Source organism: Homo sapiens, chromosome 10 (assembly GCF_000001405.40).
Source record: "Homo sapiens chromosome 10, GRCh38.p14 Primary Assembly".
Taxonomy (NCBI): Eukaryota; Metazoa; Chordata; class Mammalia; order Primates; family Hominidae; genus Homo; species Homo sapiens.
The window spans coordinates 10,664,078-10,682,113 of record NC_000010.11 but is presented as its reverse complement, the minus strand read 5'-3'; the positions used below and the strand labels follow the sequence as shown (position 1 = coordinate 10,682,113).

Sequence of the window (18,036 nt, the reverse complement as noted above, 5' to 3'; positions counted from 1 at the left end):
TGGCTACCTTCTATTTTACCATATCAATTGAATGAGAGGTAAAGAAGGAAATTCAAGCCCTTCTTCTGCCACAGAAATTCTGTCTAGAGACTTAATGTCAGAGGATTATTCTGGAAATCTCTTAATCTGTTTTATTTTGATGGTAAAATCTAGAACATTAGCCAGTTGTTTGGGTCAAATGTTTACTGAAATCCATTTACTACACGTAAGCTTTTTTATGTTTTAGCTAAGCAATACAAACAAACTTGGTTCCAAAATGGGTTTTATATGAGTTAAAATTCATTTTCATGGTTGTCAGTGGTGTAAGATTGATGAATTAGGAGCTGGGAGGAATATGCTATTATAAATGAAAAACCTGATCTTCATTCTAGAATCCTTGAATTCATGAACCTAGACTAGGACTTGACAAACTGTAGCTCATGGGCCAAATCTAGCCTGTTAGCCTCTGACTTGTGAGCTAAGAATCATTTTTACTTTTTTAAATGGTTAAAAAAAATCAAAAGAACAGCACTATTTCATGGCATGTGAAAATTTTATGAAATTAAAATTTCACTGGGGACCAATAAAGTTTTCTGGAGCACAGCCATACGCACTTGTTTATATATAGTCTGTGGCTCCTTCCACTCTATGAGGACAGTAGGTGAGTAGTTGGAATGGAGAGGGTATGACCTGCATATCCTAGAATATTTACAACCTGGCCCTTTTAGAAAAGTGTACTAACCCCTGACCTGGGCAGTCATTGATTTCATCTCGGTTGGAGGTTTGGAGGCAGATAATGTGATGAGACCCTAACAACTGACGCTGATCAATAAGGTAGGTGAATGCTAACTTTTCAGACCATTAAAATAAAAAGAACTGTATTTTGTCCTGGGGCCCATAGGTCACTCACAGCAGACTATGAGGGATATAAACATGAATAAATGGAGTCCTTAGCTGTCTGTGCTGGAAGTCCTAGGCTGAATTCATTGCTGTACTTTAGATACTCATCAGTTCTACTCTTCATCTGATAAGACTTTATTCTTAATATTTGATAAGAATATCTAGATCATTAATTCAATACAGAATAAATAAAAACCCTTGAGAGAAGCAAATCAAAATATTTAAGTATATATCTAATTATTATTTACATGAGGAATTTACATGAAACTAAAAATGTCTACATATTTCTGTAACTTATACAAATAATACTTAAGCATTTATATGAAATTGAAAAATGGACACAACCAAACTATATTTTTAATGAAAAGATATAAACACATAAACATACCTATTCATATATACGTAGTAAACAATTAACCTTGCTAAAAGAGAGCTCTGGCCTTTTCCCTTCGCCCTGGGAAATCATGGCTAAGTTCTTGGAATGTCCTGTTTGATATGAGTGTCACTGTTTACCTGGGCCTCTTGGACTGCACCAGATAGGCTATGCTAACAATGTGATTTATGTCAGAGGCCTTGGGCCACGCGCTATCCAAGTGATTTTTGGTGAAGCTGGAGACAAAGGCCTTGCATATAGTCAACGTGTTTATGTAACTGGGCCCTAATAAGAACTCTGGACAACAAGCTTGGTGGGCTTCTGTGGTTGGCCTATAGCATACAAATTGTCATACATCATGTTTCTGGGAGAAGAAAGCACTGTCTGCAAAACTCCAGTGGGAGAGGATTACTAGAAGCCTCGCTCTTGGAACTGTCCTGGATCCTGCCCCATGTGCCCCTCCCCTTGGCTGATTTTAATCTGCATCCTTTCACTATAATAAACCAAAACTGTTGAGTATGAGCACTTTAGTGAGTTTCGTGATCTTTCTAGAAAATTTTCAAACCTGAAGGTAGTCTTGGGGATCCCTAAACTTGCAACTGGTGTCAGAAGTGGGGGTGGTCTTGGGGACTCCCAAACTCTGCAGTGTATATACATTTTTTTATTTGTTTATACACATACGCACATACATACATACATACATACATACATACATACGTACATACATACAAATCATGCTACCCGAGTTTTGTGCATGTTTTGGGGAGTGGATAGCATGTTGATTCGAGAATGCTAATGATTCTTGATCTGGTGGTGGTTAAATGAGTATTAACGTATCATTATTCTTTAACCCGTAAATATACATTTTATATACTCTTCTGTATTTATAATATCTCAGTATTTTAATAAAGAGGAAAAACTCCCTGTAGAGGAAGATATTCACACACATTCACACAAGGTTCAGTGCAGCAACTGAAGCATTCACCTATACCAGAGATTACCATTCTAAATTGAAGGAGAAAAAGGAATAATGTAACATTCATGTATTTATCGTGTATTTTTCAATGGACAGCAATGTGTATCACCATGTGCCATGTATCTACTGAATACATTTAAAAGAGTAATATAAGTAACAGTTTTATTTTGAAATGTCAATATTGTGTTGATAATTGTGGAAACTAGATGGATATATGAGAGTTCATTATCCTGGTGTTCTTTTGGGTATGTTCAAATTTTTTCATGATAAAAAAGGTTTTTAAAAGTAAAACATAGGGCCAGGCATGGTGGCTTACACCTGTAATCCCAGCACTTTGGGAAGCCAAGGCTGGCGGATCACTTGAGGTCAGGAGTTTGAGACCAGCCTGGCCAACATGGTGAAACCCCATCTCTACTAAAAATACAAAAATTAGCCGGGCATGGTGGAGGGTGCCTGTATTCTCAGCTACTTGGGAGGCTGAGGCGGGAGAATGGCTTGAACCCAGGAGGTGGAGGTTGCAGTGAGCCGAGATCACATCATTTCACTCCAGCCTGGTAGAGAGATTGAGACTTTGTCACAAAAACAAAAAACAAAACATAAGAAAAGATTACCATTTTGTCCTTAGTCTTATTACTCAGGGGCTACTGCCTATTTTTCATGAAGAGAGCAGTCACTAAAATGAATTCAAATTGGAGATATATCATACTGCACCATCTCCTACCATTCTTGATAAATTATAGCCACCAGCTTATAAATAAACAAGTATTATTTTAGCTTTTTACAACAATATGCTAAAGTAGGGGGTGGAGATAAACAAAACTCTCCTGAAATCCCTTTATTTTAGCTTAGTTGTTCAAGGACCATAATCACAATTCCCCTGGCCATGTGAGGGAATATTGGTTTTGATTTGTTTTATTTGCTCTTTTCTGGAGACTTAGAAATTCTGTTCTACTGTTTATATGTGTATCCTGGAATGGAGTATTTGTTTCATCTTATTTTGACCTCATTGTAGCAGCATAAACCCCATTTGTGCAGGTTAAATGACTTCGAAAGCTCAGATCCCCAGTAGATTCCAAAAGGATCCTAACAGAGAACTATAACTTCCTCCATGAACAGGAACTGGGATCTCACCCCCTATTTAATCACCTATCCAAGTTCTGGGAATGCTGTGTGCTTAAAACAGTTTTTAATGGATTGATCACAAGCAAAATTCAACCCTATCAACAGTCAATCTCCTTCACTCACAGAGATGCATTTGGTGCAGTTTCTGGCCTTTTGGCCGTCATTGCATATCTACACTGTGGGGCCTTGGGTCGTGCACTAACACATTGACTTTGGTGAGGCTGGAATCAAAGATCAGCCCTGCAGATGGTCAACCATGTTTATGTAACCAAGCCTCCTATGTGCACCTTGTGCAGTGCTGTTCCATGGAAAGACCACCATCATCTTTCAGGTAGCAAAGACCAGCTGCAAAATAACATAATTCTTTACAGCCAGATCATTGAACTTTAGCAGTCACCAGTGCTTACTATCTGACAAATCTGATTACTGCCTGAAATATAGATGCTGTAATACGGTCACAGTAAGGCAAAACAATTTTAAATGTTCATTTAACTTCTTAAAATATCAGATATAATTTCTTGACCATAAAACAATCAAACAAACCTAAAACACAATTTGGAAATAATTTTTGCTAGATGTGTGGATCCATAAGTATCTCCTATAAAGTAATTTTACAGGCAATAAAGAGAAAAAGATTATAAAGATGGCTAGACAGCTAACTGAGTAGAATAGTCAGAATATGCCAAAGAAGCAGAGAGTTTTGTCACAGGCTTGCACCAGTAGTCTGCTCAGGCAGAGTAATACATATACACTAAAGATGGTAACTTACTAGGTCATGTTATAAAGTGACTGTCTTTCAAAAGTCACCCAGATTGACTGTCACAAGTCAATTCCTGGCAATTGCATTACTTGCCTTCATCTGATTCCATTGTTCATATAGTCCTAAATAATCAGGCTAGTCTTATTGATTAGTGGCTTGTTCTTGCCAACTGAGCAACTCAATCAAATTGACCCTGTGGCAACTTGTTTCATTGCTTAGCAGAGAACAGCTAGGATTCCCCCAAAGCCTGAGTCAGCCATCTTTGAGCATGTAAAACAATAAACATGAGGCTGCTTCCAAGCAAAGAGCACAGTTGTAGAGAACAAACCACTGGGTGGCACTACCGCATGCGGTTTCAAGGAGAGCTTGGCTACACTAATGGAGGATCTCAAATCTTAACGTGTGTTGACAATCATTCAGTGGAATTTGCAGGTACTCTGATTTCTGGGTCCCACTCTAGAGACACTGATTCAATATTCAGTATTGGGGCCCCAGGGATATGCATTTTTCAATAAGTACCTAAATAATTCTGATTGTGACCGTCTCAGAGAATCTTAGAGAAATACAAAGCTTTATTTGCCCTGTGGTCCAAACCTCAACAGTCAGAACTGCTTCTACCTTTCCAAAAGGGGCAGTTGGTTTCTGCTATCACCATTCAATTCATGGGTTTATGCCAGGACCTTTTAGCAGCCATAAATTCTATGACCCAGTAGAAAAGGGTGTAGCCAAAGGCTCTGTCCACAAGCGTAAGACCCACTCAGTCAGTGTATAAATGGTACTTACTTGGTTTCTATGTAAATGATGTGAACCTCCAAAGTATTTTATTAACATCCTGTAACTGTATATTCTAATGTCCCCAGAGAATAATCTTGGCTGATTTCTCTCTGCAGACTATACATTGCTATAGCCCTCATTATTTTACAGCTGTCAAGTAAAACCATGAGCAGCTGGGCTGAACTGGTCTGCTTTTTTGGACCATATTAAAAGACTTTACATTGTTAATAAATGGAGGCAATTAAAGGTTAAGTATTTAGTTCATCTAGCCCTTAGAATAATGAATGATTGTAAAGACAGGTTTAATTTAATTCCCCAAATAATTTGGCATTCTTGGTTATTAAGAGTCTAAAAGTACTGTCTGTTTCTGGTTCCATACTTAGCCAGTGTGGAAGCTGTCACTCCCCCCTAATAACAAGTAAAACAATGCAGGACAACAGCTCTTCTTAGATCTGTAAAAGAAGTAGGTTCACAGGACAAACCTCTGCCCTCCAAACTGGAAACACATCATAGGCAGACACAAAAAAAATCAGAACCTACAGGAGCAGAAACCTCCATGGAACCAGTGCTGGGGTAGGAAAACTGGAACTGTAACTGGCAACTCACTGGAGGCTTGGTGTGAACAAGCCTGAGAACCAAAAGCTCTAGGGGAACCCCATCACACTTTTGTGAATTTTACCTGCAGGAGCTTGACCAGATCCTCACAGTGAATGTAAGAGAAAAATCTCTTGGTGCTTTGCTTCTGGCATGGGGAGAGGCCAAGGAACCATTTTTGAAACACACCAGATCACTCTGTTCTTTTAAACAAAGTCTACCCTTAGGAAAAGCTAGTTAACCACGGTCTAATGTGCTAGAGTTTTATCAGAGCGCCACTGACCCAGGAGAAGGGAAAAAGTTCAACTCTACCCAGCTGTGTGGACTTCCCCATGGGAGAGGGAAATACCCATTTCCAGCCCACTGTGGCATTCTGGTGGGAGAAGGAAAAAACTCAACTCTAGCCCACTCCAGCCATCCTGTCTCACCTAAGGAAGGAGAAATAAAATGAGAAACACTTGGAAATTTCACAGTTCAGAGGCACAAACTCACTGTAAGACTGAGACCTAATTATAAGGCCACAGAATGCTTCTCCTTCCCCCACACCTTACCACTACATTATTAAAGCCTACCACCAGCAGTTCCTCTTCCCAGTACATCATCTCCAGCTACCAAGAAAAGATTACAAGCCATACTAAAAGGCAAAAGCACAGTTTGAAGAGATACAGCAAGCATTAGAACCAAACATACTGGGAAGTTGGAATTATCAGAGAGGGAATTTAAAACAACTGTGATTAATATGCTAAGCAATCTATGTAAGAAAGTAGATAGCATATCAAAACAGATGGAAAATGTAAGAAAAGAGATGGAAATCCTAAGAAGGAAGCTGAAAGACATGCCACAGATCAAAAACACAGTAACAGAAATGGAAGAATGCCTTTAATGGGCTTATTGGAGGACCTGAGGTGGCTGAGGAAACATCTCTGAGTTTGAGAATATCTTAATAAAAACCTCCAAAACTGAAAAGCAAAGAGAACAAAGACTGATAAAAACAGAATATTCAAGAACTATAGGAAAACTAAAAAAAAGACATAAAATGTGTAAAAAGAAATAAGAAGGGAAAGAAAGAGAAAAAGAAATACTTGAAACATAGCTGAAAAATTCCCTAAATTTATGTCAGACACCAAACCACAGATCCAGGAAGCTCAGAGAACACTAAACAACAAAAATGCCAGAACTACACCTAGGCCTTTCATTTTCAAACAAAAGAAAATCAAAGATAAAGAAGAAAATTCTGAAAGTCAAAGGGAAAAAACCCCCGCTTATCTATGGAAGGAAAAAGATTCACCTCTGACTTCTCAGAAACCACGCAAGCAAAAAAAGAGTCAAGTGAAACAGTTAAGGTGTTGAGAGAAAGAAACCAGCAACCTAGACTCCTATACCCTGTGAAGTTATTTTTCAGTAGTGAGGGAGAAATAAGGACTTTCTTAGAAAAATAAAAATTGAGGGAATTTGTTGCTAGTAGATCTGTCTTGCAAGGGATATTAGAAGAACTACTTTAGAGAGAAATAAAATAACGTAAGTCAGAACTCAGATCCACATAAATAAAGGGAGCACATCAAAAAAGAAAAAGGTAAAATAAAAACATTTATTCTTATTTTTTTATCTAACAGGTAACAGTATGTTCAAAATCACAACAACAATTTCAACTATGTATGCTTGTGTGTGTGTTTGTGTGTATATACCTCTGTGTGTGTATGCTTCTATATACATATAAGTGAAATAAATGACAGCAATGGTACAAGGGATGGGAGAAAGGAATTAGAATTGTTTTGTTATTATAAGGTATTCACACTGGCACAAGTGGCACACTCACACAAGTGGCACACTCACACAAGTGGCACACTCACACAAGTGGCACAGTGTTATTTGAAAGAGGGCTTGAATTTGTTATTCTTTTTGAAATTAATGACTCTAAGGCAACCACTAATAAGGTAAGAAAAAAAGTATAACTAATCTTCTAAGAAAGGAGAGAAAATAGAGTCATATCAAATCCTCAATTAAACCCACAAAATGCAGAAAAGAAGTGGAAGAAAAAGTAGGAACAAAGAACAATAGCAACAAAAAGGAAATAGTAACAAATATGGTAGACAGCAATCCAATTATATTGATAATGATTTTGAATGCCAGTGATCTAAATGCAGCAATGAAAACACAGACTGTTATAGTGGATCAAACAACAAGACTCAATTGCATGTTTTCTACAAGAATCTCACTTTAAACATGAAGATATATACAGATTAAAAGTAAGCGGATAAAGAACAATATACCATGCTAACACTAATCAAAAGAAAGCAGGAGTTGCTGTATGAATTTCAAAAAGAACAGACTTCAAAGGAAAATTATCAAGGATAATGAAGGACATTAACTAATAAAAATGGGATCAATTCTCCAAGAAGACAATGGTTCTTAATGTGTAGGTGCCTAAAATCAGGGCATGAAAATATACCAGGCAAAACCAATAGCACTGCAAGGAGAAATAAATTAATCCATGATTATAGTTAAAGACTTTAATACCCCTCTATCAGCAATTCACAGATCCAGCAGGCATACAATCAGTAAGGACAAGCTGAATTCAACAATACTGTCAATCAACTGGATATAATGGACATCTATAAATTACTTGATCCAAGAGCAGCAGAATACACATTCTTCTCAAGCTGACATGGAAGATTCACAAAGACAGACAATATTCTGAGCTATAAAACACTGCTTAGCAATTTTCCAAAGACAGAAATCATATAATATCTGCTGTCAGGCCACAATGGAGTTAAATTAGAAATCAATGATAAAAGAGAGCTGGAAAATCAGAAGCTATGTGGAGATTAAAAAATAGACTTCTATAAAACATATAGGTCCAAGAGAAATTTAAAAAACATTTTGAGCCAAATGAAAATGAAAACACAGCTTATCAAAATGTGTGGGATGCAGCGAAATCAGTGCTTTGAGGGGAATTTATAGCATTGAATGCATATGTTAGAGAATAAGAAAGATCTAAAATCAATTATCTCAGCTTCTACTGTAAGAAACTAAGAAAAGAAGAGGAAATTAAATCCAAAGTAAGTAGAATAAAAGAAATAATAAAAATTAGAACAGAAGTCAATGAAATTGAAAATAGAAACTCTATAAAGAAAATCAACAAAACCAAAAGCTGGTTCTTTGAAGAGATAATAAAATTGGTAAGGCCCTAGTGAGTCCAACCAAGGAAAAAAGAGATAAAACACAAATTACTGTATCAGAAATGAAAAAGGGTTTATTACTTCAGATCTCACTAAGATCATGAACAAGGCAAGGATGTTCCCTGTCACCACTGCTTTTCAACATTGTACTGGAAATACTAGCTAGTGCAATAAGAAAAGAAAAGACAATACATACAGATAGCGAAAGGAGAAACAAATTTGTTTGGACATTACATGGTAGTCTACGTAGAAAATCTGAAAAATTAACAAAAACAGAACCCCAAACTCCTGAAACTAGTAAGCGATTATTATGGTAAAGTTATATAAAGTGAATATAGAGGAGTCATTTTCCTATGCAATGAATACGTGAAATTTTAAATTAGAAACACAATACCATTTGCATTAGTGCCCTCAAAAAAAAATGCTTAGGAATAAATCTAACAAAATACATACAAGATCTATATGAGGAAAACTACAAAACTCTGTTGAAAGAAATCAAATAATAATTAAATACATGAAGAGATATTCCATATTCATAGACAGGAAGACTCAATACTGGCAAGTCGGTTTTTCCCAACTTGATCTACAAATTCAATGCAAACACAATGAAAATCTCAGCAAGTTGTTTTGTAGATATTGACAAACTGATTCTAAAATTTATATACATAGGAAAAAGGCCCAGAATTGCCAACACATTATTGAAGAACAAGAATGAAGTTTGTAGACTGATACTACAAACTTCAAGACTTACTATAAAGCTACAATAAAGAAGACTCTATAGTATTGGTAAAATAATAAATAAATAGATCAATAGACCAGAAGACAGATTCCAGAAATAGGCCTACATAAACATAGCAACTGATTTTTGACAATGGAGCAAAGGCAATGAGATGGAGAAGACATAATATTTTTAACAAATTGTGCCGGACCAACTAGACATGCATATGCAATTAAAAAAAAAAAAAAAGGAATGTAGACACAGACCTTCTACCCTTCACAGAAAAAACTCAAAATGGATCACAGACTTAAATGCAAAATGCAAAATTATAAAACTCCTAGAAGGTAACATAGAAGAAAATCTAGATGACTATATAACTCCTAGAAGATAACATAGGAGAAAATCTAGATAACCTTGGATTTGGCAATGACTTTTTGAGTGTGACACAAATGGCGGGAACCTTGAAAGGAATATTAGATGAGCTGGATTTCATTGGAATTAAATATTTCTGTTCTGTGAATGACACTGTCAAGAGAATAAAAAGGCAAGTCACAGACCGGCGATAAATATTTGTGAAAGACACATCTGATAAAGGATTACTATATAAAATATATAAAGAACTCTTAAAACTAAACAGTGAGAAAATAAACAACCCAGTTAAAAAATGGGCCAAATGCCTGAACAGACATCTCACTTAAGAAGACATACAGGCTGGGCACGGTGGCTTACACCTGTAATCCCAGTACTGTGGGAAGCTGAGGCAGGTGGAGTACCTGAGGTCAGGCGTTCAAGACCAGCCTGGCCAACATGGGGAAAGCCTATCTCTACTAAAAATACAAGAATTAGCCAAGTGTGGCAGCGTATGCCTGTAATCCCAGCTACTCAGGAGGCTGAGGTGGGAGAATCACTTGAACTCGGGAGGCAGAGGTTGCAGTGAGCTGAGATTGCACCACTGCACTCCAGCCTGGGCAATAGAGCAAGACTCTGTGTCAATTAAAAAAAAAAAAAGACATACAGATGGCAAATAAGCATTTGAAAAGATTCACCACACCATAAGTCATCAGAAAAACATAAATTAAACCAACAAGGAGATACACCTGTACACCTATTAGAATGGCCAAAATCCAGAATATTGACCACACCAAATGCTGGTGAGGATGTGAGTAACAGGAACTCTCATTCGCTGCTTGTGGGAATGTGGCATAATACAGCTCTTTTGGGAAGACATTTTGGCAGTTTCCCGCAAAACTATACACATTCTTTCTATGTGATCCAGCTATCACAGTCCTTGGAATTTACTCAAAGGAACTGAAAACTTATGTCTACACAGAAACTTGCACACAAATGTTTATAGTAGCTTTATTCACAATTGTCAGAAGCAACAAGAGGTCCTTCAGTAGGTGAATGGATAAATAAACTGTGAGATCCAGACAATTATTTAGAAGGATTTGGTACTAAAATGAGCAAATAAGCTGTCAAGCCATGGAAGGAGATGGAGAAAATTTAGGTGCCTAATTCTTTTTTTTTTTTTTTTGAGACAGATAATTCTTTTCTCTTTTTTTTTTTTTTTTTTGAGACAGGATCTCACAGTATCACCCAGGTTGGAGTGCAGTGGTGCAATCACAGCTCATTTCAGCCTCAATCTCCCAGGCTTAGGTAATCCTCCCACCTCACCCCGCAAGTGACTGGGCCTGCAGGTACATGCCACCGTGCCTGGCTAATGTTTTTATTTTTTGTAGAGATGGGGTTTTGCCATGTTGCCTAGGCTGGTCTCAAACTCTGGGCTCAAGTGATCCACCTGCTCAGCCTCTGAAAGTGTTGAGGTTACAGGCATGAGCCATTGCACTTGGTATAAGTATATAATTCTAAGTGAAAGGAGCCAATTTGAAAAGGCTACAGACTGTGATTTCAACTATGACATTCTGCAAAAGGCAAAACTATGGAGACAGTAAAAAGATTAGTGTGGTTGTCAAGGGTTAGAGGGGAGGGACAGATGAATAGGCAGATCACAGATTTTTAGGGCAGTGAAACCACTCATATTATAATGATGAATACATGTCATTATACATGTGTCCAAATCCATAGAATGTACAATACCAAGAGTGAGCCCTTATGTAAACTACAAACTCTGGTTGATAATGATGTGTCAATCTAGGTTCACTGAATGTAATAAATGCCCCACTCTGGTTGGGGATGCTGATAATGTGGGAGGCTATGCAAATGTGGGGGCAGGGGGCAGGGATCTATGAGAATTCTTTGTACCTTTTTGTCCATTTTCTTGTGAATCTAAAACTGGTCTAAAAATAAAATCTCAAAAAAGTCTAAGTACGAATAACCTTATTTTCATTTTGTTAATTTTTTTTAACAGAACTTGGTCAACTGGTAAGTGTTATGTTTTGTTTGATGTTTGCAGCTAGGCTGGACAATCAATAAGGGTGTTATGACTCTTGTTGGAAACTCAGATTGGGGCTGAAAATCAGTTGAGTTTAATTCAACAAATATATGTTGAGCATATGCTATGTTTAAAGCATGTAAGAGGCCAGGAGCGATGGCTCACGCCTGTAATCTCAGCACTTTGGGAGGCCAAAGTGGCCCGATCACCTGAGGTCAGGAGTTTGAGACCAGCCAGACCAACATGGCAAAACCCGTCTCTACTAAAAATACAAAAATTAGCCAGGCATGGTGGCGCTTGCCTGTAATCCCAGCAACTTGGGAGGCTGAGGCAGGAGAATCGCTTGAACCTGGGAAGCAGACATTGCAGCGAGCCAAGATTGCACCATTGCACTCCAGCCTGAGTGACAAGAGCAAAACTCCGTCTCAAAAAAAAAAAAAAAAAAAAGGCATATAAGAGACTCAGTCCCTTCCTACAAGAAGCATGCAATCAAACACAAAAAGCAATAATACTATGAAAAGTGTGTAAGCTCTTTAAGAAATTAAAATTCTCCAGGATTCAGAGGGACAGGGAATAATATCTTGTGAATATAAACGAAGATATCATGAAGAGGGAGCGTTAGCAGTGTCAGTAAAGCATAGGATGTATTGTGAAAATGACTAATCCAGCTGGGGTGGCCTGCAGATTGCATTTAAGGAGTGATAGCAGATGATAGACCTGTAGGCTTTTATCCCCTTATGCATTTGGGTCCTGGCTCCCAGGGAGTCATGGCAAATTACATATTAGAATCCGAATCTGCACATCTTCTTTAGAAAGAATGTGTTATGAATAGTTTGGGAATAAAATGATGCCAGTTAGCTTCTGACAATGCAGTCAGGTGGGAACCAAGCAGCTGACGTTCTGCTCTCCAGTTCTGTAATGTCACCTGGTCTCTCTCTGTCTCAATTCTTCCACCTGTGCAGTATAATTCTAGGATTCTTTCTAATCTCAGAAAACATCAGCATAATAAAACATTTTATTTGACTAGGAGTTTACTCTTCATAAAATAGCAACACATATATTCTCTCTTTGATTTATACAACCAATCTTTCAGATGTTTTGGCTGACATTTTAATCTCTATTTTGTAGGCATAGAAATGGAAGTTCAGAGAAGAACAGTCAATTAGCTAGGGTCACACTGCTTTCAACCTGAGAATCTCAGTTCAAATCCACTTCTGCCACCAAACCACTACTGAGCTGCCTCTCTCCTCAGCAAGGTGTGAATAAGGTGGGTATAAAAATATTTTGTGATAGAGGTAAAGTTAAAAGCCCCTTTAGGACAAACCAACTAATATTCATAGTCATGTAACTAGATTTTTTTTGTATGTAACCTTTTGTTTGTTTGTTTTTTTGTCAGGGTCTCACTCTGTTGCCCAGGCTGGAGTGTAGTGGCATGATCTCAGCTCATCGCAGCCTCTGTCTCCTGGATTCAAGCAATTTTCCTGCCTCAGCCTCCTGAGTAGCTGGGATTACAGGCGCACACCACCCTGCCTGGCTATTTTTTATATTTTTGGTAGAGACAGGGTTTCATCATGTTGGCTAGGCTGGTCTCAAACTCCTGACCTCAAGTGATTCCCCCACCTCGGCCTCCCAAAGTGCTGGGGTTACAGGCATGAGCCACTGTGCTTGGCCTATATGTAACCTTTAAGAACAAAATAAATGAAAAGCAAATAATAACAAAGAATAACAAAACAAGAAATAAAACCTAGTGTCAGAGAGAGTAAAAACAGAAGTAGTTGGGTCAATACGATATTAAGTGTCTTTGACATGATGCAATGGGAAACATATATGTTGTATTTAGCCCAAACTGCGTACCGTGAATCCATCAGAAATTCGTACCATGGAACTGTACCTTTCATGGAAACATGCAAGACAGAGGAATAAGCTAACTGGGTCCATGAAGCAGCAGCCAGTCAAATCCACAAGGTAGGGCATTCTGGCAGAACAACTTGCTCAGCCTGCTTGACAGATCAATGTCCTAAATCATAGGATGGGGTTGGGAACGCAGAGCAGTGGGAGGGAAGATTAAAAGGGGACCTGAGGAGAATTTGGGGTGATAACTTGATTGTGATGATTTCACGGATGATTACACGTGATAAGAAGTACTGCATTGTACATTTTAAATATGTACAGTTTATTGTATGTCAATTATATTGCCATAAAACTGTTAAAAATGTCAATGGTGAAAGCTATTCGTTTAACTACAGGGATGCTCATCGTAAATTTCTGGATATCTAAGTCTCTCCCTCTAGGCTGGTGTTTTGCCTGATTTATCCATTTCATACTCTTTAATGGTAGAGAAGACTACAGGGCTGGCACGGGTGCTTGTTTGAATCTGTGCCTCTTTGGGGCACATAATTTGAGCAGTCAATTTAGTCAAAGGGATTTTGCTGGTAGTGAGGATGTGCAAAGAATCATGGGGTTTGTTTGCATGGTAAAAAGCTGCAATGCACTGCCATTCTGAGAGGCTCAGGATAATCCTGGCTGGAAAATGGCATGGACTATGTCCCTGGTGAGTGGAAGGGCTCGGTTTATTTCTATCTGACTTCTTCTGATTCCAAATTGTGCTTTTATTCCCTGTGTTCCAGTGGATTGGGGACTGGTATTTGTGTGCGCAGAGAGGCACCTTTGCAAAATCTCATTTGCATAAGCCCACACACGGGAGAACGTTTCCAAGATCCAAAAGTGGGAATAATACTGCTCCTGCAGATAAAAATAAAGGAGCTCTTTGAAATTTGGGAGACCCATTCAGCAACTCCAGTTTACATACTCTTTAAGTTATAGGAAATATTTCAACACTGATTTATAGTCGTGATCAGCCTGGCAGCTATTCCTGTGGCCTTTTGTGCTAAAAAACATCTCCTTTTCTATGTATTGACACCTGAGAGCACTCTCACACAGTCACATACATGCTTTCTTTTATTTGGAAAGAGCTAAATGCAGGAATATATTTTGAATAAATTATTTCTTCCAAAACAAACGCGTGGTCGTTTTAACAGCATCGACTGACAGGGGCAGTCACTAAAATAGAAAGTTGACCCCAAACATTTTTCCAGTTTCTGTTGCATAATTAAAACAAAAAGTCAGCTGTCTGAGTAGTAATAACTATAGCTTCCATAGACACAACGCCAGGAGACCAATTCATTTATTCAAAGAGCATGGTGCCTTTCAGCCCTGACATCTTAAAATATTTCCAAATGAACAGGAACCTTTTGGATTGCCCGGGATGCATAATCATTTTTTCTTCTATTATTCACATCTCCATCATGATTCCCAACTGACTTATTTTAGAGGGCCTTTGGCTTATAAATGTATGCTGTGGTGTGTGCATGAACGTATGTGTATGTGTGTGTGAATGTGTGTGCAAAACCAAGCCAACCACTGAAAATAGGCTAAAGGTTAAACCATCTTCTTTCTTTTTTTTTTTCTTTTTTTTTTTTTTTTTTGAGACGGAGTCTCGCTCTGTCGCCCAGGCTGGAGTGCAGTGGCGCGATCTCGGCTCACTGCAAGCTCCGCCTCCCGGGTTCACGCCATTCTCCTGCCTCAGCCTCCCGAGTAGCTGGGACTACAGGCGCCCGCTACCACGCCCGGCTAATTTTTTGTATTTTTAGTAGAGACGGGGTTTCACCGTGTTAGCCAGAATGGTCTCGATCTCCTGACCTCGTGATCCGCCCGCCTCGGCCTCCCAAAGTGCTGGGATTACAGGCGTGAGCCACCGCGCCCGGCCTCTTTCTTACAAACACATAATCATCCTCCTTAGGTGAGAATCTTGGCGGTTTCTGAGATAGGTGATTTCAGGGCCTTCTCTCCTTCCTTGTTTGCTACTTCCACTACCAACTTGAGACTCATCTTTGATTCTTCAACTAAGCTTAAGGGCAGAAATGGTGTGAAGTGCTTGAGATCATTAATAAGTTGGAGGTGGAGGAGCGTGTGTGGTCACCTGGTGCTATGCTGGGCACCAACCCACAACCTGCCCCCACTGACTTATTTCCTCTTGAGAGACACGGAGCCAACACAGCACCCCGACCTGAAGTGAGTTGACTAGTGGCATCTGACAAATGCTGCACATTCAGTAGCTGTTTTTTTACTGAGACTTTTCATCTGGAAAAGGGAGAGGTTAAAATTATGGGGAGCAATGAATGGAAAGAATGAAATTTGCACTCTCAGGCTGAGTAGATTTGGAAACCCAGTAAATAAGTATGAAAGAAAGAAAAGCTAAGATACCTGGAAACACAGCCAGGGCTGCAACAGAGCCAATCGAAGGATTTTCTCTGCTTTGCAAGCGGTGAGAATGATGAAGCCTGCTGAGAAAGTCCCTGACTCTTCGTATCACCGGGCCTTGGCACGGTGGGTGAAACACTATTATAAGCTTCATGGCCTTGGCTTCGTTCCTGGACCTTCCACTTCTGATGATTGTATGGGATAGGCTTGCAGAGTAGTTTTTGTAGAATATTTCCTTAGAACATTATGCCCTTCTTCTACCAAATGAGTTCTTTGTGGACCTTAACATTTAAGAATACCCAGAATTTGGTGTTTCTAACTCCATCTCCTGGAGCATTCCTATATCCTAGTGTTTATTAATAAGTGACTTGTAAAATTATAGCATCAACCTTCTTTTAAAACTAATTTGTGATGCACTGAAATCAGGATTAAATAAACAGAATATTTTCTTTATTATATTAGGACTCTGTTAACTTTATTTTCAACTACAAAATGGATACTTACGAAATAGCAACATTTTAATACCTGCTGGTAGGTTTCTATGTCCAGGGTGGACAACGAGTCTCTGAGGCAGCCTACCCTGCACGGTCGTGAGAAGAGATAATTGAATAGGTAATTCAAGATGTTTAGATTACAAGAAAAAAATAAAATTCTGGCTTACACATACATTTATATATATATATTTATGGATACATTACTTATGGATACATTTACATATATCCATAATATACTTTATGCATATTATGGATTTGTAATGCAGAACCATTGGAAGCTCAATTTGCAGACAATTTCACTACTTCCACAAATTTGCCGGCATAGCTCTGTATTTAATTTTGATTTCCATGTTTTTTTCCACCTGTGGGCATACTCTTTGACCCTAGGAACACAGTTTGACCTTTTCAGCTCCTTTATTCAGTTTAACATTAATTTTTCTTCTTTATTCTGAACTGGTTTTCACTGTACTTAGTGAACAATGAAGGGGCTCTGGGGCCCAAATAAACCTGTAAAGTGCCCACGAATTTTAACCAAAGAAGGCAACACTACATGATTAAAAGCTTTAAATTCTCAAAGAGCAACATGATTAATCCAGTACTACAGTGTTGAGTGGCTTCACACTGCCTTCATTTGTTGGTATTGTTATTTTTCTTGGTTATATTTGATTAGTTGCAATGATAATTTTAGTTCGAACAGTAAATGTGAATACCTCTTTGCGATTGCAAAATGTCTTAACTATTTCAGTAATCTTTTAAACTTCCCATTTCTGTCTTTGTGATGAAAAGGAATGGAAGAGGGAGATCTGCCCACGAAGATAGATTCCCCTAAACCACACACTGGGGCTACTACCGTAACGGCAAACACAAAATTTCTCTTACGTTTTCTGTATTTAGCAGAACTCAAGGAAGATGGTTCAAATGGTTTTCTACCCAGCTTGATTTCTATCTAGCCACTTTAAAGATCTCTAGAATCCCACAGTCTTCCTTGCTAGCCCACCGTAGTTGTTGAAATTGAAAAAAGTATATGCATAATTTTTACCCAAACTCTACTTTCACCTTTTCTCTTTTGTTTGTTCCTTTGCAAATATAGAGGAAATTCACGTGGTGTCTTTGTAATATTGTTTCAAATATCCAAGGGTGTCTAGGAGGGCATTTTTCTAGCTTCACTTTTCCAGGTGAAAACACCTCTACCATCATTAATCTTTCAGCACAGAGCTTTTTAAAAATATCACTTTGTGTTTATATTTCTATATTCATTTTTAAAAACTTGAGCCCTGAACTTGTTGCAGTAAAGGAACGATACAATGAATATTTGAACTGAGTAGTGATTTCTCTTCTTGCATCATCTCACATTATTCTGGAGAGATAAATATTGTTATAACCATTATTATATTGATATGCCTATTATTTTTAGTTGCTGAGAAAATCTAGCTTCAGCTTGTGATGTGCCAGGACCACCAAAACTGTGTTTTTGTGTTTTTGCCTACCTATCTTTCACTCAGGTTTTGAAGAGGC

General features: G+C 38.3%; 1 protein-coding gene across 9 annotated transcripts in view, besides 1 other annotated feature; it reads right to left on the bottom strand.

The window, feature by feature from the left end:
• Window positions 1-18,036, bottom strand: part of CELF2 (CUGBP Elav-like family member 2) — an 874,126-nt gene that overhangs the window by 654,562 nt on the left and 201,528 nt on the right. The window lies entirely within an intron of this gene.
• Window positions 6,000-6,049: an enhancer, noted in NCBI's record as "active region_2992". NCBI's record gives its function as "activates an Ori minimal core promoter by ATAC-STARR-seq in GM12878 lymphoblastoid cells {active_cell/tissue: GM12878}" and the evidence as "EXISTENCE:reporter gene assay evidence [ECO:0000049][PMID:35858748]".